Here is a 23,896-nt window from a genome sequence, read left to right as displayed (position 1 = left end):
AGGGTTCACAAAGAAATAATGGAAGTTACAATCTCTGAGATGTGTAGTAATTGGCCAAATGAAGAGGGCACCTAATACCCTGCCCCAACAATCATCCTGGCCAAACTTGATCTTTGCAAATTAATTCATTGACTTTGTTAGAGCAGTATTTCACAATGCAGGCTGCTCTCAATTGGGAAGATGTCTGTTTTCTACTAAATTACATCTAAATTATATCAGAGAGGTATTTATGTGTGTGTGTATATGCATATGTATACATGTATAATTGTTCTATTTTAACAACTTTTTTCTCTCTCTCTCCTTTCAATGAGCATGCTTAAGTCAGAGTAAAATTCATTTTCCAAAGGTCAGCTTTTAAAGTTTGTAGGTTTTGAAAAATAAAGATCTTCAATAATATAATTTGGCAGACCTGTAGACATTTGCCTGTGGCATAAATGACTTTAGAATAGAGTGTCTAATCCAGGCTGTCTACCCTAGTTGCCCAGCACAATCACCTGAGGCATATTTCAGAAATGCTAAAGCTGACCCAACTTCCCAGAGATTCCAATTTAATTAGTGTGCAGAGGCGCCTGGCCAGCAATACCAGTTTTAAGCACTACAGAACATTCTTTTTTTATTTTTTTAATTTTTTATTATTATTATTATACTTTAAGTTCTAGGGTACATGTGCACAACCTGCAAGTTTGTTACATAGTTATACATGTGCCATGTCGGTTTGCTGCACCCATCAACTCGTCATTTACACTAGGTATTTCTCCTAACGCTATCCCTCCCCCAACCTCCCGTACCCCAACAGGCCCCAGTGTGGGATGTTCCCCTCCCTGTGTCCATGTGTTCTCATTGTTCAACTCCCACTTATGACTGAGAACATGTGGTGTTTGGTTTTCTGTCCTTATGATATTTTGCTGAGAATGATGGTTTCCAGCTTCATCCGTGTCCCTAAAAAGGGCATGAACTCATCCTTTTTTATGGCTGCATAGTATTCCATGGTATATATGTGCCATATTTTCTTTATCCAGTCTATCTTTGGTGGACATTTGGGTTGGTTCCAAGTCTTTGCTATTGTGAATAGTGCTGCAATAAACATACATGAAGCACTACAGAATATTCTAATGTGCAACCAGAATTGAACCCCTGGTTTATTCATATCGTTTACATCTATTTTGAGGAGGAGAGAAGATCCACCACAGCCTCCAGAGGAGGATAGAGAAGGAAAATAGCGAAAGAAACACTTCCTGCTAAACGGTGACTCATTGGGACCTCCTGCTCTCGCCCCCACCTAGAGGGTAAGACGTTAGTACAAATTGACTAGACCAAGCCTATATGGTGAAAATGGATTCTGTTCAAAATCAGCTTCCAACAGAGCAGAATCCACTTGCCATCGCAGGTGCTCTGAACGAGGGAAAATATTTTTATCTCACAGATACCTTCAATCAGTAGTTTTCTTTTTTTTTCTTTTTTTGAGACGGAGTCTTGCCCTGTCACCCAGGCTGGAGTGCAGTGGCGCGATCTCTGCTCACAGCAACCTCCGCCTTACGGATTCAAGCCATTCTCCTGCCTTAGCCTCCCGAGTAATTGGGACTACAGGTGCGTGTCACCACATCTGGCCAATTTTTGTATTTTTAGTAGAGATGGGGTTTCGCCATGTTGGCCAGGCTGGTCTCGAACTCCTGACCTCAAGTGATCCACCTGCCTCGGCCTCCCAGAGTGCTGGGATTACAGGCATGAGCCACCATGCCTGGCCTCTTTTTTTTTTTTTTTTTTTTTTTTTTTTTAAGCGTAATCATTGTTTCAAACAAAATCTTAGAACTCCAACCCCTACCCTCCAGCCACCATCCTCCCATGGGACCCTTTTTAGGACTGGTAGGATTCCTTAAAACACACTTTAAAAACCAGACCATCAAGTGTTAAAGCTACTTCTGTCTTGAGTAAAAACTAAAATTAGCAAAAAATAGTATCAAATTGAAACCAGCTGTTCTATAAGAGGAATCAAACCATGGTGTATTATTTCCTCCTGAGATTTTCTTCTCAGATAGTGCCCTGGGTAGATTCTTTCCATCTCCATCGTGTGCCACACCCTGATGGGGGTCAAAGCGGGGATGAAGAACATGTTTCCTTTTCAGTATAGGTAACATTTTAAAAATAGAAACAGGCATTGAGAACAAAGTAGAATTTAGTATTAGACATTAAAATAGAGGGCTTCAGGCTGGGCGCGGTGGCTCACGCCTGTAATCCCAGCACTTTGGGAGGCCGAGGTGGGTGGATCACGAGGTCAGGAGATCCAGACCATCCTGGCTAACATGGTGAAACCCCCATCTCTACTAAAAATACAAAAAATTAGCCGGGCGTGGTGGCGGGCGCCTGTAGTCTCAGCAACTCAGGAGGCTGAGACAGGAGAATGGTGTGAACCCTGGAGGCGGAGCTTGCAGTGAGCCGAGATTGTGCTACTGCACTCCAGCCTGGACGATAGAGCGAGACCCCGCCTCAAAAAAGAAAAAATAAAGAGGGCTTCTGCCTTACCTCTTTCTTCTTTATTTAAAATGTCTGGGCAAGCTTTCCTGCAAATACAAAATAATAGTCATTGACTGGGAGTTGAATGTCTAATAGTGCAAACCTCTGAATCATTCCTGTGTGTTCTCCTGGTTTCACTCAGCAAATGTGGATGTGAATCATTCATTCACCCAGTGTGGCTGTGCCAGGTGGAACAGAATGCTTTAAGATTGCAAGCAGTCCGGGGTCTGAGAGGGGATATCTGCCGGGCCACTTAACAGCCATATGACTTTTTTGGTTTGCTTCATCTCAAAAATGAGGAAAATCATATATATTTCATGGAGAGTTCAGAGAATAGAGAGAGAGAGTACATCGAGTGTTCAGCAGAGTTGGTAAGCTCAACTGATGTTAATTACTATTACCGTATCGCGTGGTACCTTGGAACAAAATGCTTTTGAAGGAGCTCGGGCAGTGATGCTAGAAGCAGATGTTGAGCGCTCAGCCGAGAGCACTGACTGCTCTGTAGGTGAGGGGCCCCCAATCTCTGCAGAAAGTGCTTAGTGCCTCACTGCAGGAGCATGCCTTCATACTATCTCATGGTCTGTGTTCAATATCAGGAAGCCTTTGCAGATGGCCCTGGTGCATCTGCGGACACAACAGCCATGAAAACAGCCCATAATAGCAGGCTGCTCACACAGTATAAGTCCTGGGAGGAGGATACTGCCAAGATTTTTAAAGATCTGGCCAAGAATACGCCTCCAGAGTGGCTATCTCAGACTGAGCATAGACTGTATTTCTAATTAGAGCAAAATATGCGTACCCTAGGTCAGTGAACACAATAACTTTTTTTTCTGAGATTAGAGACTGCAAGAAATAAATTGGGCAACAGTGTGTTTGTAGGGGCAGAAAGAACTGAAACTTGTACGTAAGATGGGCGCAAGTGCCGACTGGAGCCTGTTCCAATTCTTGCTGAAGGAAAGCCATAATGTGGGTGTGTGCTTAAAAAATAGTATGTGGCAGCTACATCATTGGATTCAACACCTTCGGCAACTGGGTACAATGGAGAAAACTGATCACTGAACTTACATAACGGGATGTTGGGTTTGTAAGGGACTACTAAGGTGGCTAAATTCAGCCAGTCTTTTCCACATTATTTCTGTGAAGTGGCACTCAGCCCCCATTGGAAGCCTCAAATGATGGTGAACTCAGACTTTTGGGCAACACTGTTTCACCTTGTTCAGCTGGTTTCCGCTCTTGGGGCCAGTTCTACGTCCTGGGGACCTATACTGTACATACCCTCTCCCATCTGACTGCATATAATTTCAAAACAGCTCTCCTGCCCACTTGTGTTTTCTTTTCCTAAGTTGAACATCCTCGTGTGTCATGGTTTTAAGTCTTTTTACCATCTTGATTACTTGCCTTCATAGGTTAGTTTTTCTCTACTCCTTTTATGGGTAGCATTAAGCACTGAATGCATCATTAACAAATGGCCTGATTTGCCTTGAATAGAGCAAAATTATGGATCTCCACCTTCATCTTCCTAAATCAGGCTTCCATCAATGAAGCCTAAGGTTTGCTAGAGCTCTGGGTGACAGCATACTAAGCATACTTGTCTGCTGACATCTGTAGAGATGGTTTTGTTTTGTCTTTCTGATAGTTTAACTAGCATCTCCTAAATTTCTGCTCTCCGTGTATTTGTACACTTTGTTTTTAGATCTCAAATCCATGCCTTTTATTGATCCTTATTTTAATTTTTCAGCATGTACAGATTATCAGATCCTGATTTGGTTGGACAGGAAGTTCACTACCACCCTGGGCTTCATCCTAACCAGAGATGTGAGAATCTTGCCTTCTGTGTTACCATTCAAGTTGCAGCTTGTGCCTGCCAGGCAAGAGCTGAGTGAAGGGGTCTTTGGCAAGGCTTGAGCCAGCCCCCATCTTCATTAGCATGCTGTGGACATGCTCATTATTAGAACAGTTCTCCAAGTTGTTCAATCCCAATATACCATCTAGTCAACAGGAATATCATGAGAACCTTCACAGAGGCCTTAGTGATGCCCAGTTCTCCCTAATTCCTTCCTTAAATTTCACCAACAGTGGATCAGTAATAAAATTTCCAAGTTGTTGAAAAGAAGCATAAAACCATGCCAGGTGACATGAACCCATTTTGAACCAGCCCAGTGCTCTTTTATAATCTTTTGATTAATCTTGGACTTTCGTTCTGCCTTACCAATGTTCATTTCTTCCTTTCTATCTAAAGAAAATTTTCTTTAAAGAAGCTGAATGGAAGTTTCCTTAACCCCAAGCACCAGAAATACTCCATCCTTGATTTGCTATATAGAAAAATATTCATGGTATTTTAACGAGCCCATTCCTAAAGCCTAATTTTGTTGTCTGAATGATTTCTGTAATCCTCAGTTCATTCTTGTCTTTGGGTTTCTGAGTGAATGTACCTTTCCTCGCCATCCTCTTTCTTACATTCACCCTGTAAGGGTGAATCGAAGTATTTCCTTCAATTTGCCTTCCTAAGGTTTAGTGTGACCTTTTAAGATCAGAGCAAGCTCACTGGTTTCCATAGCAACACTCACTTTTCTTCTGATTAGGATTTTTGGGGGGAATTGCCTAGTAAGAACTTCTAAGCTTCGTGAACACTCTTGTTTTAGAATTTCATGTCCCAGAACCATGTCCCTGTTGCCTGAGAACTTCCAACCTAAGCTTTACCACTCACTGGTTGTGTGACCCAAGATGGTTTCCTCTAAGCAAGGAACAATAAGACTTCTCCCAGGCTTGAATCCATGTATAAATATAAAAGAGGGTCCTACTAATGCTTACGTACTGAATGGCCATCTGCTGCCCTGGAGGCAGTGCCTGTTGGAACTCAGCTTTGGCCAAGAGAACCCTTGCCCTTTGGCAGAAGACAGGCATCAGAATAGTTGCAATTTGGTGGTGAGTTTTGCGACTCTCTCCTATGTGTCCCTTCCACTCCTTGGTTCTCATGTTATAGAAACCCAAGGGTGAGTGTTCAGTGTTACACAATTTGGTATTGAGACTGAAAATGGCGAGACAGTTTGTTTTTCATTCTTACATTAACATAAAGCACGGAAGCTATATAAACGTGTCTGGGCTGTTCTTAAGACAATGCCATCTGAATTTCCTTTGAAAGAAAAAGACATTTGAAATCATGCCTATATGGATGAGAATGTTTATCACTTTGGGTCTTGGACTTTCCTAAGCAGGGAAAAATCTCTGACCTTAGGAAATGGTTCTCAGCAGTCTTGATTCAGCTGTGTCCTAGTTTCTTAGATCCCAATTCTTGGTAATAGCTTAGGAAGGTTGTTGCAGTGGTCTTTGGGGAGTGCCTTCTCTATTTGGCTCAAAGTAATATGGAGACAGCTAACCATTAAAAAAAAAAATGGTAGCTGGCTGCCACAACAAGCTGGAGAAACTTACTGTCTCTTGACTTTAGATGTATGCCCTGTTTTTAAATTTTCTTTGAGGGTAAGATGTTAAAGGTGTATCCTGGGCCTCTTGGATCATGATGCAGTCCCTGGATCCTTTGGATTTAACAACCAAGCTTTGTTCTCCTTTGAAAGTCACTCTTATCCATTTATATTTCCACTCTTCTGTGCCAGCCTTGCCTGGGACACTGTCATGGTCTAAGTGTCATTCACCTGTCACTCTTATCTCCCTGCAATTTATATTCTGGACTAGACAGTGGCTGAAATGCACTTTTAAGAATGTAAGTCAGATTATAACATTCCCTTGTGAAAAGTCTTCAGTGGCTTCTTGCATTTCGGGATAAAAACATTCTTTACAGTCTAGGGTGGGGCTCATGATCTGCCTGTGGAATATCTCATTAGCTGCATCTCCTAGCACACTGTCCCTCTGCCAAGTGATTTTTTTTGCCTCAGGGCCTTTGCATATATTTCCCCCTGCAAGGACCCTCCTCTCCTTCCTCACTTGGTTGACTGCATGCCTAAGCTTAAATGTAACCTCCTCAGAGAAGTTCTATCTAACGTTCTCATCTAAGTTAGGGCTCCTTGTTACATTCTTTAGTAGTCGTTATTTTCCCTTAGGCAATTATCGTAATTTGTAATTATCTCCTTAAACTTTGTCCTCACAAACTGGCAAATTTATAGGGCTAAAGACCGTTTTTATTTATTCCCGTCCCCACAAACTTTTACACAGCCTGATGCATCATATATAATTAAATATTTGCTGAATGAATATATAGGTGAATGGGTTAGTGCGAGTCCTCTCACCAAATGTGGTAAAATGGAACCTGCTCTGGGATTGCAGTAATGACATGGATCTGGGCTCTGATCTGCCATTCAGCAACTTTGTAACTTTCACCTCCCTGTGTTTCAGTTGTCTTTTGCTTCAGTGGGGGATAATTACCTTGACTTGCCTTGGGAGATGTTGTAAAGATTAAATGAGTCATTTTGTAGGTGAACATTCTCGGGACTGCAAGGTAGAGTGCCTTCTTGTCCTTAACGTCATTGCTTTGCCCTGTGATATCCCAGATCATGACTAGCAGAAGGTAACAGGAACTGAAGGATCTGGAACTAGGCTAGCACAGAAGCTTGGAGACAGAGCAGGTGCCAGCACAAAAGGTGCGCATGTGTGTAGTTGAGGATGTACAGAGCTGTGGGGTTATCCTAGGCAGTAGCCTGTGCTAAGGTCCCATTTGGATGTAAGACAGGTACTAATGCTTAGTCTTACCAATTATTTTACCATTTCCATGTGGAGGCTATGTGACAGAGTAGGAAGACACCCAACTCAGATGAGTTATATCAAAATAGAGTCCTAACCCTGCCACTAACCAGGTCTGTGGCCTTAGAAACACATTTAACCTCTGTTTTTTTGCTTCCTTATTATAAAATAGAAATTAAAAAAGTAGTATTTTTCTTGCCAGTCTTAAAGGGTTGTTATGGGGAAGTATTGAATGAAATTTATAGTGAAATGTATAAACATGCTTTGAAAATGTGTAAGGTATTATATGCAGAAAGTAGTATTTAGATTCAAAATTGTGGAAGAATGCATTTAACTGTCTAATGTGCCTTCTTTGCACATACTTTATATATAAATTTCCTGGAAATACATTTTAGTTGAATAATTTCATTTGCAGTTAGAGTACTTATGAATGTAGTAAATATTATATGTTGATTTGTAAAAGAATTTCCACACATCCTGATTGGTCTAAGGGTAGTATATTTTGATCAACATTTGCCAGCAAAAGAGCCACTCTTACCATGTTTGCATGGTGACTGCTAAAACATATGCAAATATAATTATTCTTTCAACACAGAAATCATGCATTTAGAATATAAAATCCATTATAGAGAGATTGAGCTAGAAAATGTGCCTCTAGCTAACACCATCTGAGTAGACTACCACCTACTGACATCAATCGATTTTAAGCCATACCAGAAGTTAGTATCTTAGTGAAAAAAATGCCATCATATTCCATCTATGCCATTTGTAAAATTCATTGTGATTTTAGGAGAATTGAAATGCTAGAAGTAGATCTTAGAATCAAGAACACATCCTGTCTTGTTCTTTTGGTTAGTGTTATATCTTGGTTGCTAGAGCATCACAGGCTGTAATGTAGCATCTAGAACCATGGGCACTTCTTACTTTCCTCAGAACACCACTGTTGTACTCTCACGATGCTGTCAACCCTGCAGTACTTCTGTCTCTTGATAGGAATTAAAATGCTTTCCTTAGATATGTGAGATTTCAGGCTAGAACAGAAAATGATTGAAGTTGTCTTCTTCTAATTAACATGTTTATACCTCATCTCAGAAATTCTGATGAGATTACAAAAGCCACACATTAAACTTTAGGTTTATGGAGAAACATTTGGCTAGAAACTGAATGCTGTATTTATTTTCATAGATCCAGGTTTCAAAAGCTTAGTGAGAGCTTAGAGCAGGACTTTGTAAATCCTGAAAGTTAATATTCTGTGACCCACTGTAAGAGTTACAGATGCCACAGACCTGCCCTGTGCCATCCATGTGTTCTTTTTTGTTTTTGTTTTTAATTGAGATATGATTTATATGCCGTACAGTTCACCCATTTAAGATATACAATTTTGGCCAGGCATGGTGGCTCACACCTGTAATCTCAGCACTTTGGGAGGCCAAGGAGGGCGGATTGCTTGAGCTTATGAGTTCGACACCAGCCTGGGCAACATGGCAAAACCCTGTCTCTACCAAAAATACAAAAAACTAGCCAGATGTGGTGACACATGCCTGTAGTCCCAGCTACTTGGGAGGCTGAGATGGGAGGATGGCTTGAATCCAGGAGGTGGAGGTTGCAGTGAGCCAAGATGGCACCAGTACCCTCCAGCATGGACAACAGAGTGAGACCCTATCTCAAAAAAAAAAAAAAAAAAAAAGTACCACAGTTCGGTGGTTTTCAATATATTCACAAGGTTGTCTAACCACTACCACTAATTCTAGAACTTTTTATCACCCCAAAAAGAAACACTGTATTTATTAGCAGTAACTACTCCCCATTCTCTGCCTCCCCTATGCACTAACCACTAATCTACTTGCTGTCTCTATGGATTTGCCTATTCTGAACATTTCATATAAATAGACTCATATAACATCGTTTTTTTTGTCTAGCTTCTTTCACTTAGCATAGTATTTTCAAGATTCATCCATGTTGTAGCATGGATCTGTACTTCCTTTTTATGGCTGAATAATATTCCATTGTATGGATATATCACATTTTATTTATCCATTCACCAGTTGATAGATATTTGGGCTGCTGTCACTCTTTGGCTGTTATGAACATTAATGTACAAGTTTTTGTGTGAACATGTTTTCAGTTCTCTTGGGTACATACCTAGGAGTGGAATTGCTAGATCTTATGATGTATATTTAACTTTTTCAGGAATTGCCAAACTGTTTTCCAAAGTGGCTGCACCATTTTACCTTCCCACCACCAGTGATAAGGGTTCTAATTTCTCCACATCCACAGCAACACTTGTTATTGTATCTTTTTTTATAATACCCAGCCCAGTGGGTGTGAAGTGGTATTTCATTGTGGTTTTGATATGCATTTCCCTAATGACTAAAGATGTTGAGCATTTTTCCCTGTGCTTATTGGCCATTTGTATGTTTCTTTGCAAAAACGTCTATTCACATCCTTTGTCCGTATGTTCTATAAGAGTCTAATATTAGCATTAAGTCCCTGGGTGTTCCAGTCTAAGAACAAACCTGTCATCCTCCCATATTCCCTCCTAATCCATTAAGAGAACCATTCTGTCCTGTCGACAAAGCCAGAAACCAGAGAATCTTCTTTTCTCCCCTATTCAGCATGTCTAATCTGTGATTGTGTCCCCTAAATTCTTTCTCTTTAGTATCTTTCAAATCCATTCTTTTCTCCATTTCCACCCATTTCCGCTGTCACCATGTTGCTTCAGGCTGTCCTCTCATTTCTCTTGAAAAACTGAAATGACCTCTTCATTGATCTCCCTACCTACAGTCAGCCTCTCATCTCTCTTCTGCTTTGTCTGGAGCAAAATCTGATTGCTAAAAACCCCTCTATGGTTACCCAAATTCTGTAGTCTAATGGCCAGCCTCCTAAAATGAGCTGCAAGGCCCTGGCTCCATCCCTTTTCACTAGTGCACAATTTCGTCAAATTCGAGTCCAAGATTAGATTCTTCTCTGGATGCCCTCCCTGACTCAAGGCATCTCCAATCTCAGCTTTGCTTCCTCTCCGTTTCTCCCACAATACCTCCCCATATTTTTGTCATAGAGTTTATTTCACTGCACTATGTAATTACTGTGGATGTCCTACCCTCCCTTCTGCTTTTGATAGTTCCTGGGATTAGAGTAGCACTTCAAGTGTTTGTTCAACAAGTATCTGTTGAACATCTGCAATATGCCAGGCCCTGTGTTGGGTACTGGGAGCATCTAAACATGGTCCTGCTCCTCGATGAAGGATTGGGAAGGCCTCTCTCTGAGGCACTGTAAGGCAACCTGTAAAAAGTGAACAGAAGTCAGCTGAGAAAAGAGTTGGGGGTAAGAGTGACTCACACACATGGTACAGCATGTTTGAAGGCCTTGAAGTTAAAAATATTATGATGTGTTTGAAGAAAAAGACCAGAGAGTAGACTCAGAGGAAGCATTCTTGAGGCTGTGATGGAGGCAGGGGTTAGCTCATACACGGTTTCAGGCCAGGTTACGGAACTTTGAATTTTATCCCAAGTGCATTGAGAAGTCCTTGCAAGGACTTTGAGCGGGAGATGGGATGTTGTCATGCTCCTGTTTTAAGTTAGAATATCCACAGAGAGATCTTTTATGTGGTAGTGGTTTTGAAGGACAGCAAGGCTTGGAGGCAGGGAACCAGCTAAGAATGTAGCATAGAGGCAGTGTGTCTAGTGGCTAAGTTGTAGTTTCTGAAGTCACATTGCCTGCATCCAAATCCTCCCTCTGTTACTCTAGGACCTTGGGCAAGTGCTTCAGTTTGCACATCTATAAAATGGTACCATTAATATTACATGCCCCTTTGAATTCTGAGGATTAAGTGAATTTATATGTGTAAAGAATTTAGAATAAATCTTAAAATGAATGAAGTGTCAAATATAAAAACATTTGAAAGTAAAAGATTTTAAATGACTTTAATAAGAGTACTAAAACATTATTTGTAATACATAAATAAATGATAAAATGAAAATACTGTGAAAACAAATCCATAAGAGAAACTCCAGGAAGATGGTTGTTTTCATTGCAATGTACCTTTATACCCTTGTTCTTAATATCTAAAGCCACATATAGGGTATTGATGAATCAGTGTATGACATCATATACAGCAAGGTGTACCTCCAGAGGCACAAGTCATGTTGTTATCTGTGTGACTGTGTGTACTTCGCAGCACATAGTGGGTACAGCACACAGTGGGTACAGTGAGTGGTTCAGACCAGGTCTGGGAGTCATTTACACCTGGTTTTTATCCAGGTTCTTCTAGTTTTGGCTGTGTAACTCTGGACAAGTTTTACAGGCTTAGGGAACCTCAGCTTCTTAAGTGAGAAATTGGGTATCCTGAGGAACTCATTGGAGATTGAGGGTGTTAGATGACAATGCGCAAACAGCCCTGTGCGTAGTGTTTGCACCATCGTGCGCACCCATTTGTGTGCCAGTGGCTGCTGCCATGTTTTTTTATCATCTCTGAAGCAGTTCTTTTCCCCATTGGCACTTCCGTATCTCAAGTTATGCATCTTCTCCTGTGCATATTTGTACAGGGTATTGTAATATTCTTGAGGTAAGTGTAAACAGCTCTTAAAAGTAAAAATTAAAATTTGAGCTCATTTCCTGCTGAGAATTAGTTGCTACAGAAACAGTGAATGTTTCAGTAGCGGTCAATAAGATGGTGTTCAGTGGATGCCGTCCTTGTTTTTAAAATCCAGCTGTGGGTTTATCTATTTGGGGGAGGGGCAAGTGTGGGATCTGCTGCTCTTTAACCCAGGTTCTTCACTGCCAGAGCAGAGACAATTCTGCCTGAGTCGCCGAGGCAGGGAAGGCTTTGTGGATGGCCCTAGCAGGAAGCGGGCTCCAGCTTGCGACCTACACGTTGTTCAGGCTCAGATGTTACATGGTCTTTACAGGGAATCTATAACAAATCCTTAATTTCCAGATGCTATTAAGGGGGATGTAGATTGAGCAGAACAGACCATGGTGTCATACACCTGGCTTCTAAGAAGTCTGATTGGCCTTGAACTGTTCTTGGTATTAAGAAAACTGCTTTCAATCCTTGGTAGCACACTGCAGGTTTAGGACAAGCCAGGGGAGGAGGGCAGTTATCATGCATTTGGCAGCCTTTTGGTAACCTACACTGCTCTCAACCTTGTCGAAGTCCCACAGTCCTATTACATCTTGTTAGACATGGTGAGACACTGAGACGATAGTGACAAAATGAAAAACATAACCAACCCTCTGGAAGCACCCCAGAACGTAATATGGGCATTTACACCAGCTGCTGTGATGCCCATGAAAAGGCAATGCATTTTGCTCCTAACACTGGTTTTTGGGCATCATAAGCAAATTCCAAAAGAACATTTGCTTTCTTTGCTGGATAAATGTACTCATAAGTCAAGACCATCCTGGCTAACACGGTGAAACCCCGTTTCTACTAAAAATACAGAAAAAAAAAAAATAGCCAGGTGTGGTGGCAGGCACCTGTAGTCCCAGCTATTTGGGAGGCTGAGGCAGGAGAATGGCGTGAATCCGGGAGGCGGAGCTTGCAGTGAGCCGAGATCGCGCCACTGCACTCCAGCCTGGGTGACAGAGTGAGACTCTGTCTCAAAAAAAAAAAAAAAAAAAAAAAAAAAAAAATAGTGCTCATAAGATGTATTTCAGGAGAGGAAGCTACTTTAAAGTCATTGTATCAGCTATGATGAGATCCTAGCGTGTTTTGTTTCCCTGCGGTTATATTTAGCACTAATATGGGTCTATGGGAGGAGGCAGGAAGGTGAATTCAGAAGGAAAGTAGGTAAGAGGGCAAAACAATCAAAGGGGAAAGTTTAAAGATACAAAGTTTGAAGGACCATTGCTCTGGTGTAAAATAGAATTTTCAGCACTTCTAATGTGCAGTAAGTGACTGATAAAGTAAATGACTGATTATCTGAAGTGAGGACCATGGAGATAAAGGCATTGAAGCTATGACTTAGCATTAGATTAGCACAGACAGATGAAAGTGTCAGCCAAATTTAATGCTCCAAATCCAGATCCTGTATTAATAATAAACTCTTCATAATCAGGAGACAGGTTACAAATTACCATGCACTGTCTTAAGTTCTGTAAGCATTCGAGGATCAACTCAGCTTTTTGGTACATTTTTCTGGGTTGTGAATGAGCCACAGGAAAGGCTGGAACTGGAGGTATTTCTTGAATAAACATTTGTGGAATGCCTGCTGTATGTGAAACCTTGAGGCAGGAGGGGGAAAGCATGGGGTGTGGGGTGGAAGGGAGCAGGGTAGAGAAATACTGATTAAGACTGGCCTTGAAGGAGCTCATCCCTAGGGATGAGCGTCATGGACTCAATTCTAAGTGACAGAATGGAGAAAGGGGAACAGTGCTGTACTAGTTATCTATTGCTGTACAGGTTATCCCAGTCTCAGTGGCCTAAAACAAGTATTTATTATGTCACACTGTTTCTGTGGGTCAGGAATCTGGGAGCGGCTTATCTGGGTATTTCTGGCTCAGCCTCTCATGAGGTTCCCATCCTGATATTAGCTGGAGTCATAGGCATCTGAAGATTTGACTGGTGCTGGAGGATCCTATCTGAAATGGCTCACTCCTGTGGTTGGCCAGTTAGTGCTAGTTTTTGGTAGGAAACCTCAGTTCTTTGCCGTGTGCCCTCATGACATAGTAGCTGACTTCCTCGTGGTGAATGATCCAAAAGAGCAAAGAGGAAGCCTTGATGTCTTTTACCACCTGTTTACACACTCTTCCTGCCACCATATTTTATAAACTAGATGCAAGTCATTAAGTCTTGCCCACACTTAGGAGGGAGGGAATTAGGCTTCACTTTTTGAAGGGATGGATGTCAAGGAATTTGTGAACAGGCTTTAAAACCACCAGAGGGGATAAGTGTAGATGTCAGGAAGTACCAAAGTCAGTGCTCCAAACCCTAGTCCTGGAGGAACTGGACAGGCTCTTTACCTCCCAGTGGGATAGCAAGACATCAAAAGGACAGGGTCGGGGAGCCCTGCTGAGATCAAGGGACACAGGAAGAAGAGAGTAAAAAAACAGCTTGACACAAGTCTCTTGGCTTTCCCTCTTCGCAGTTTCTTACTCCAATGACACCCCTCCCACATCTGACATAACTAGACTGCTTGGAAGAGAATGCTTGGAGTTCACCACAGACGTTGGCTTGTATAAATGCATGCTGAGAAAAAGCTCTTTTGCTGAGCTGGAAGTTTAGGGAATTTATAAACTGAGCTGGGACCCAATAGTCGCTGTGGCTACTTATGCATTAAGTGGTTACTACTGGTCAAGAACAATTTGGGTGTTTAACTGGGTCTTATAGGGAGTCTGAAAAATATACTTTTTAATATTCTCTTTACCTAGAAAGAGAAACCTGTTAGAAGTGAGCCCTTTAGGCCAGGCATGGTGGCTCAGGCCTGTAATCCCAGCACTGTGGGAGGCCAAGGCAGGTGGATCATTTGATCCCAGGGTTCGAGACCAGCCTGGGCAACATGGCAAAACCCCATCTCTACTAGAAATAAAAAAAATTAGCAGGACGTGGTGGCACATGCCTGTAGTCCCAGCTACTCAGGAGGCTGAGACATGAGAATAGCTTGAGCCCGGGAGACGGAGGTTAAGTGAGACCTTTAATAATCTAGAAGAGATTTTAAAAAAATGACAAAGGGCCAGAAAAAATGATCCAGAGAGAATACAGTTGGAATTCAAGTGAGGGTGAAGTTCCTAGTGGGAAGGTTTGAGAGCAGGGAGGTCAAAACTAGGAGCTGAACCCTGAAGGGCATGTGGAGACTAGAGAGACAGAGGAGGGGAGGATATTACAGACAGTGACGGTGATGGGGTGGAGGGAAGGAACCACATGAATAAATGTGTCTCTGGATGGCAGTTTGTGGGATGGTTGGAAGCCAGCTGCTTGGACAGAGAGTTATTCTGGGGAGCTGAGGAGATCTGGTGACGTCTTTCTGAAAAGCTTGGACCAGATCCTTGTCAGGCTACTAAATAAAATGAAAGGACACCTTCTTAGGAGGGGCTTCTTTGCAATCCCTCCCTAGTGACAGACATAGTCTTCACTCTTAATTGGAGAGAATGAGCAAAAGGAAAAATAATTATCCACAGGATTTGGCCAGCCAGCCAAGTGCTCTTTCCCTCTGCCGAGAGAGAATTCATTTGGCCCTAATGAGGAGTGGACATTTAAGTATTATTGGCAGTTTATCATTTCTCATTGTGATTGCTCAAATTATCATCTTAAAGCTTCACCTTTAAAAAGTAATAATCCTAAAATAGTCTATTGAGGCCTTTTGGACTTCAAAAGTATTTTCAAAGGTCATGCAGGGGAAACAGTTTACTCAAATTTGTGCCATTTCTTGTAGGCTTAGCTTAAGGGAACTTGAGTTGCATATTGAAAGCAAGTTTCTCATAAAAACATTTTACTCATATTGTACCTGTGTGTGTGAATCTGTTCCACTATTATTATGTGATAATTCTAGCTTTAAGAATGACTGCTTTGATTTAAGAAGTTCTCAGTGGGAAGATAAAGTGGTTAAGGGTTAAAGAGAGGTTTGGATTTCCAAATCTAATTTTCCTGCATGAATTTCAATATTAAAAAAGTTTTCATATATCTACGTATATTTTGTTCCTGCAACATAAAAGTAACTTGGTTGTTCTAAACTGACAGCAATGCTAAATATCCTGCAATCCTGCAAAGCTAAAATTCTATATAGCAGACAAAACCAGCAAGTGCTCATTGCACAGTTCACAAATTCTGGTGGCATGAGAATGTCAGCTAAGTGGCCAGTCACTCTAGGTTCATGTTATCTTCTTTAAATATAATGCCTATTTCTGATTTTTTTAAACCAATATTAGTTCTTACCTTACAAGTTATGTACCATGCTTCAACAGTAATGCCATACCCAACTTTATTACTGCAAACTTGCTTTGTAGAAGCGCCCACCTTCTTACTTTACCTGTAGACCAGCCTTTTGTAGCCTTGGCACTAATGACATTTTGGGTGGGCTAATTTTTGTTGTCGAGGGCTGTCTTGCACATTACAGGATGTTTGCCAGCATCCCTGGGCTCTGCCCACTAGATGCCTGTAGCACCCTTACCTGGCTGCTGCAACCAAACTGTCTTCAGACATTGTCAAATATCCCCTGCAGTAGAACCAGTGCTCTAAACTTAAAGTGTTGGTGCTAGCAGATAAATGTGCAAAATGAGATTATAACAATGATGTGGATGAATGGAGCTAGAAAAGATCCTTATGTCTCATGGTTAGATTTATTGCTTTGCCAGTTTTTATCAAGAGCCTCGATAATGGAAAAAGCATTGGGAATGAAATTAGGATACCTGAATTCTGCTGACAAATTGGGCAGTGGTCTTAGTCATATTTAGTGACTGTGTTTCCTGTGTCTGTCAAATGAGAAAATATCCCTGAACCCTTTTCCAGCTTTAAAATTAAACCCACTTTTTTCCTGAAATTCAGTTCTCCCTTTTCATTCACCTTGATGGTACGGTGTAAGACAATAGCAACCCTATAGTGCCTATAGTAAGAGTCAGATTAACTCTTACTTAACAAGCAAATTTAAAAATTTCCAAACTTAGGCTTATGGAGAATGACAGTATTGCCTCTACACATTTGCTTTCTTTTGGGGAACACTAATTGTTATATTACCTTATGTGTGAAAGTGAGTCCATTGAAAATTCACTTGTGGGAAATGGAATATAGGTGATCAACAATTTAGCCATAGTATTAGACACCCTTTTGCATTTTGAATGAGTATCTCTGAATAGGAATATGTGGCCTATAAAGTCCACATTTGTGAATAATGGGGTGTGGTTAAAGTTATAATCATTTTTACTTAAACAGCTCTGGGCCAGGCACAGTCGCTCATGCCTGTAATCCCAACACTTTGGGAGGTGAGAGCAGGGGGATTGCTTGAGCCCAGGAGTTTGAGACCAGTCTTGGCAACATGGTGAGACCCCCATCTCTACAAAAAAAAAAAGTCAGAAAAATTAGCCAGGTGTAGTGGCACGCACCTGCGGTCCCAGCTATGCTGGAGGCTGAGGTGGAAGGATCACTTGGGCCCAGGAGGTGGAGGTTGCAGTGAATTGAGATCACGCCACTGCACTCCAGCCTGGGTGATGGAGTGAGCCTCTGTCTAAAAACAAAAACAAACAAAAACAGCTCTGTAAGTGGAAGCAATGCTGTATAATATAATTTCTGTGAATTTAAAACTTTGAGTGATTCTTAGGGTTATTTGATATTATTCTACCTTGGAGAGCAAAAATCTCCATTTAAAAATGTATTGAATTTTCACTAAAGCATTTTTAAAAGATTGAAATGATGTCTGTTAAATTAGATGATAAAGGATAAATTGGTGTTTTACTATATCTCTGCCTTTCATATATAAAAGAATGATTGGAATCTCTGACTAATGGATTTTCTCAGCACATTTTTTAAAGTTGATTATGCCATGAGTCATATATTTCTAAATATGATATTAAAGTGCTGCCTCTCTTTGCTACTTCTAGGTTTGTTTCATCAGAGAAGATAGATGTCTGTACATATCTGTTAAAGCTGTACACCAAATTCACAAAGATTCTTTTACATTTCTTTTTATTCCAAGTTTTTTCAATTTCAGCCCTCTAGAAATGACATTCAAAGAGGCATGGGTTATGTCATCAAAACAAAGTCTTTGAAAGAGGCCTAAGGATCATATATCATTCATGCATCTGAAAGCCTTGAAGACTCGATAGATGCTCAGAAGTACTCAAGTCAGTTTGCCTCTCGCAGACATTCAAGTTTATTTAGGTCACAGCCTTATATGTAGTGAAAAGCCCTTATATCTGTTTTTTCATGCAAAAACCTCTCTCAAAGGCCTTGTTTTCCAGCTAATCACTCTCACTGTCATCTTCTGACCATTAGAACTCTTGCCTCTCCTGGGGCCAGTAGCCATCTTATATCCTAACCCCCGACTTCTCCATCTTCCTACTTTCCAGTGGATTCTGTTTAAGATTTCATCCTTTTTAGGTCAGCAGCCCGCTCTCTGGGTCTGTCATGATCTTTGCTCTCTGCACAATTTTCCAGGTAGAAAACTCTAGGGCAGAGTTTCTCTGCAATTTGGTGTATTAGATCTCAGAAGGCTTTAGGGTAACACAGGAAATGTTGGTGACCAGATTTGCGCATAAGCATTATTTGCACATAAGCATTATTTGGTTTGGGCCAGATTTGCACATAAGCATTATTTTGTTTGGCCCACATTGTATTTTCAAAAATCTAGAAATTTTTCATAATACAGATTCTTGGCTTTCCTTGAAATGCCTGGAGACTTGGTAACACTGAGCCATATTCCCAGGCAGCTGGAGCTGTGTACAAGCTGCCCCTTTAGAAGGGACACATGCTCTCCAGCTTGCTGCAAGCACCACGGTGCCCTAGATACAGCATTCTGGCCCAGGAAATGTTTGGGTCTATGCCCTGCTTAAGGGAATGAGACTTACTGATTCCTTCCAGGAAGTCTTAGCGGTGAGGGTTCGTTTCCTCACCTGCCTCTTTCTCTATAACCATATGGCTTCTGTTCTGGAATTAAACGATCTATTACTGGGAGTAAAATGGAGAATAAGACATGTATTTGAATATACAAAGTGTGCAATGTGTCTGACGAGGAGAAAGCAACCTGCAAAAAGTCATAGAAAGTCAATAGAGCCAGAAATATTTAAACAAATAGAAAAGGGGATGGCTATAAATGTCAACTGAAGCTAATCATCTGTTGTCAGCTCCATGTCTGAAGATTCTGTAGTTTAAATGAAACTGTTAGTATTAACTACTTACTGTTTCCAGGACTTGAAACTTGTGATTTGTTGGAATGTTTAATTTTAGTGCTTCCTAATGCTAGCCGGCATTTGCTGAGAGACTGCTGCTGTGCCAGGCATTTTGCAGAATCTCTGTCTAATCCTCAAAAATGCCTGGAAGGAAGGTGGTTATGGTAGCTCCGATTCAGAGGAGAGAAATGAGGCCCATAGCTTATTTTGCTAGTAAAGAAGCAAGTGGGATTTTAACCTAGTCTAGTTCAATTTTTAAGCTGATGCTAATCTCAATAAATCTCACTGCCTGTCTTAGTTTCCAATATCGTCTTACTCGTATTACATTTTGTTGCCATTAGGCAGGTCTGAGACTCAGTTTTCTTATCTAGAAGAAGGGAGGTGTAATGCCTGCTCTTCCTGCCACATAGGAGTGTTGAGTGTTAAGGAAGATGATGCATCTGGAAGTGCTGGGTAAATGATAAAACACGAAATAAGAGACAGTGCAGTTTCATTTTCCCACACCCAGTCAGTGTTAAGCCATGTTCATCCAACAACCCCATTGTTTCTGTGGCGAGGAAACTTAATAGCAACAATTCAAACTGCTGTAAATCGGAGCAGGGGATATTGGAATATGATTCTTTAGAAGGCAGAGGTTATAGTGATGTTGTAAATTTAATCTTTACGCTTGGAAGGAGGAGCACCAAGGCATGCTGAGCCTTTCAACACTGAGTTGTAGGAGATGCGTCAGGGATTCAGTACGTCATAATCAGGGTTATCACCATATGACCTTGGACAACTTGGAGAATTTTCTACAGTTCATTTTCTTCATCTGAAAGATGAAACAGTTTATATAAATCATTTTCAAAGTCTGACTTCTGCTTTTCCCATAATTATCAGTTTAGATGACATAGAGCTTTGTGCCTGTTTTGTTTCTTGATTTTTTAAATGGATATATATTAAGATCTTTAGGCTTGAAAGGTATACTTTCAAGGTTTTGATTGTTGATTCTTTTCAACATCCCCTGTAATATGGTTTGGCTGTGTCCCCACCCAAATCTCATCTTGAATTGTAGTTCCTATAATCCCCATGTGTCATGAGAGGGACCCGGTAGGGTAATTGAATCGTGGGGGTGGTTACCCCCATGCTGTCTGCATGATAGTGAGTTCTCACGAGATCTAATGGTAATGGTTTTATAAGGGACTTTCCCCCCTTTGCTTTGCACTCCTCCTTCCCACCACCATGTGAAGAAGGATGTATTTGCTTCTCCTTCTGACTCGATTGTAGGCTTCCTGAGGCCTCCCCAGCCATGTGGAACTGTGAGTCAATTAAACCTGTTTTTTAAATAAATTACCCAGTCTCGGATATTTCTTCATAGCAGCATGAGAACAGATTATCCTCACGTCTTCACCTCCCCAGAAGACAAGCACACATGCCTACTTTCTCTTTCAGCCTCTTGGGTTTATAATGTTCTCTGTTAGCGCATGCTGTATTCCTTTTTAATTCTGTGCTTCTAACTCTTGAATGTCTCTTAAGAAGTGAAAGAGAAGCCTACTGAGGAAATTCTAGGCAGAAGGTGGCCCCCACAGCAACAATGGATGTGCCCTCTCCTTAGGTTTTTTCAAGGCAGGGGCTTTGTCCCTTGGGATGTGAAGGGCCTGGTGGCAAGCACTGGTGTCAGATGATAGCTTTGTTTCTTCTCATTCAGGTGATCTATTTCCTAACTTGACATTTTTGAATGCAAAGCCTTGAAGGCTTTGCATATGTGATTGTTCCATAAGACAATAAGCAGTATAAATTTGGAAGAGGAATTAGGCCATTATTTGACTGACTGATGTGAATGAATCACTATTCAGAGCTTAGATTACTAGCTGCAGATGTGAAAGGATCATTTTCTGTCATTTGCTGAGACAGTTAACTTCCTCCAAAATGTGGCCAGTGCTATTATTAAAGATAATGCACCATGCTGTTTAAAATGCAAGTCACTGCAGGGTTCATTTTGAAAACAGACATTTGGGCATCTTGCTTTACCTGTGGAGCCGGAAAAGGCACAAAAATGAACAAATTACTGATTCCAGAGCTAGATGTGAAAATGTAACATCCACCTGTTTTGAGATCTGACCTTGCTTTTTACACACTATTTCCCCCTTGTTTTTTGGATGAATGTTAATGAGGAACTAGAATTGAAGATCGCATGCTTCCTAGTGGCTTGTTTCCTAATACAGCCACCTTAAGCTACCCCTCCCCTGTTTCTTCCAGGGATAGCATTTGCTGCTGTTACTGAAGCTGGATCAATGTATATGGTTATAGAATTCATATGTATCCATTATGGTAATTGTCAGCCTGTTGCTACCAAGTTAGCTTCTGACTTTACGGATTTTTTAGCTCATTTGTGTTTGTACATAGTATGAAGCAAATAATGAGAAATTAATGTGTGACAATTAGAATAAAGGAAGAAATCTTTAAAATGGGTTTTAGGTTGTATTCTCTTGAAATTCTATGAATTAAAACATTTTGTCCCCCATGACTGTTCATCTTCCTCATCTGGCAGAGAGTGAGAGGTATTTAAAGCTCCTGTATTGTACCAAAGCAGTTAAATTATAAAGGTGTTATAGCTGAGGAATAAAACTGACATTGAATAATAGTCATGTTTACCCATATCTCCTTATTTGCTTAAAGCCTTAAGAAGATTTTGATGACCAGCATTTCAGTTTTCCTGTCAACTGAGTATTAGACACAGTGTAAAATTTGACTAAAAAAGTTTGAGGACAGTTTTGAAAGCTTAGGCAGACCTGCCGGGACACTATAGGAATGGCAGTTTACTCACAATTTCTGCCCTGTGGAGGTGTGGACAGTAGGGGAGACAGATTGCATGCTTGCAAGTGGTTTCTGAAAAGCAAACTTTTAGGAAACCTGTAGAGTTATTTATGAAAAAAACAACAACAACAACAAAAAAAGCATTTCCTCTTTGCAGTTACACTTGGCAGGGCTGAAAAATGAGCCTAAATTAGCTTATTAAACTGGCTAGAAACCCTAGGGAAAGGCTTAGCCAATCTCAATTGGTGCCTGTAATCAATAATAGCATAATATAATTATTTGTACCCCAATCTCTGGGCCACATCCTGCAGGCAGCACAAAGATGAATACTACTGAGTTCTGACTCTGGATTCTTGTCAATTTAATAGGGTAGAAAGATACCTGATTATGTAATTATAATACAAGGCTCTCTGTGGCAGCTACTGAAAGAGATGTAAAATCAAATGGAAGTGAAAGCAATGGAGAGATTATCTGGGGAGTGGTAGGGGGCGTGGTGGGGTGATGGGGTGGTGGTGGTGGTGGTAATGGTCCATTTGGGGATCCATTGCAAATGTAGACTAGGACTTATTTTTGAAAGATGGGTCAAAGGGGAGCCATAAAAAGTCTGAAGCCTCATGACAAATAGATAAGGGTATATACATTAAGTAATTATCATATAAAAATATATGCAAGGCGCTGACCTGGGTGCATGACTGCCCTCATGAAACCCTCACAAAGAAAACTAACTGTGCCTTCAAATGAGTACAATAAAATATAATGTGCACAATATAATAAATGTTTAATATAAAGTTCAGAGTTATGAGGGGCTAGTATAAAGAGCAAGCAAGGGTGGTCTAATTTGGAGAGGTGAAGGTTGAGTAGGACCTTCAGTGACAGCAATGTGATAACATGAATTTGAGCTTCAGCATGAAGGGCTTAAATAAAATTTAAAAACTTGACATTCAGTGGACTTGAACCCAGACCCAAAACAGCTGAATCTGTTCCTGAGGCATCATCATGAAGACTAAAAGAGAACTTTCAATTTGGACTTATAAAGAGCATGTGAGGCTGTTTTATAAGCAGATGTTATGTCTTTGGAGTGATTTATAATCTTACCTATTATGTGAATAAATACAATAAATTTTTTAAAAAACTAGGATTAGTTGGGTAACAACTACAAAACCCAGTTATCTGTGTTCTCATTGATCACAACCACCATTCTTCCCTTTGCTTCTAACCAAACCAGGAGGACAAAGGAGGTTATATATGTTTCACTCAAGATGCCTTGGAACCACTGAATGGAGTTTGAGTTCATGTTACATATTTAACTGGCCAAAACAGTAGTAATCTTTCCTTCCTTCCTTCCTTTATTTGTTTGTTTGTTAAAATATTTGAGTGCTGTCTTTGTGCCAGCCCTTTGCTGGGTGCTAGGGATGTTGTGGTAAATAAGTTACATCCCTCCTTTCTCCACCACACGCACACACTGAAATCTGGTCTTCACTGAAGGTGAAGACAGTAGGGAATTATATGATTCCAGAAGATCCTTTCACACCTTTGAGTCTGATTCATAAACTACTATAATGATCACATATACACATTAGACCTATGTATTACCCAATTTAAGAAAAGACAATTCTTAGGTAAATTAATATCCTAGCATAGCTAGGAGGTGAAATAGATTATTGTGACAAAATGCCAAGTGTCTGGTACCCTGTGAAGCCGTAGGGATCTTTCCTGCTCTTGTGATCACCCAAAAAGCCACAAGATCCCATCCATTGTTATAAATACTGCTTCACTCTCTAAAGTAAAATTTTCAGTGCAGTACTAGATACAGTGTCAGATCCTGTTTGGCATCAGTTCATTTTTAAAACGTTGACAAAGATTCCCTCTTTTAATTTTTAATTTTTAAAATTGACACATAGTTGTACATATTTATGGGATACATAATGATGTTGCAATACATATAGTGATCAGATCAGGGCAATTACCATATCATCTCAAACATTTATCATTTTGTTGTATTGGGCACATTCAATATCCTTCATCTAGCTTGAAAATGAGCCTGGGATATTTCTGCATCTAACCAAGATGAAGTAACAGT

The 23,896-nt window shown here is 40.7% G+C and overlaps 1 protein-coding gene and 1 long non-coding RNA gene across 5 annotated transcripts in view, besides 1 other annotated feature; one reads left to right on the top strand and one right to left on the bottom strand.

Annotated features, from left to right (window-relative positions):
* Positions 1-23,896, top strand: part of PPM1H (protein phosphatase, Mg2+/Mn2+ dependent 1H) — a 291,157-nt gene that overhangs the window by 54,749 nt on the left and 212,512 nt on the right. The window lies entirely within an intron of this gene.
* LOC105369795 (uncharacterized) overlaps positions 1-23,896 on the bottom strand; it is a 60,653-nt gene that overhangs the window by 20,625 nt on the left and 16,132 nt on the right. The window lies entirely within an intron of this gene.
* Positions 13,803-14,632: an enhancer, noted in NCBI's record as "OCT4-NANOG hESC enhancer chr12:63259550-63260379 (GRCh37/hg19 assembly coordinates)". NCBI's record gives its function as "activates a minimal SCP1, AML or CMV promoter by ChIP-STARR-seq in primed H9 embryonic stem cells {active_cell/tissue: H9 hESC(primed)}" and the evidence as "EXISTENCE:reporter gene assay evidence [ECO:0000049][PMID:30033119]".

This window comes from Homo sapiens, chromosome 12 (genome assembly GCF_000001405.40).
Source record: "Homo sapiens chromosome 12, GRCh38.p14 Primary Assembly".
NCBI classification, from domain to species: Eukaryota; Metazoa; Chordata; class Mammalia; order Primates; family Hominidae; genus Homo; species Homo sapiens.
The sequence above is the reverse complement of the archived record's forward strand: the minus strand, read 5'-3'. Positions and strand labels throughout refer to the sequence as shown.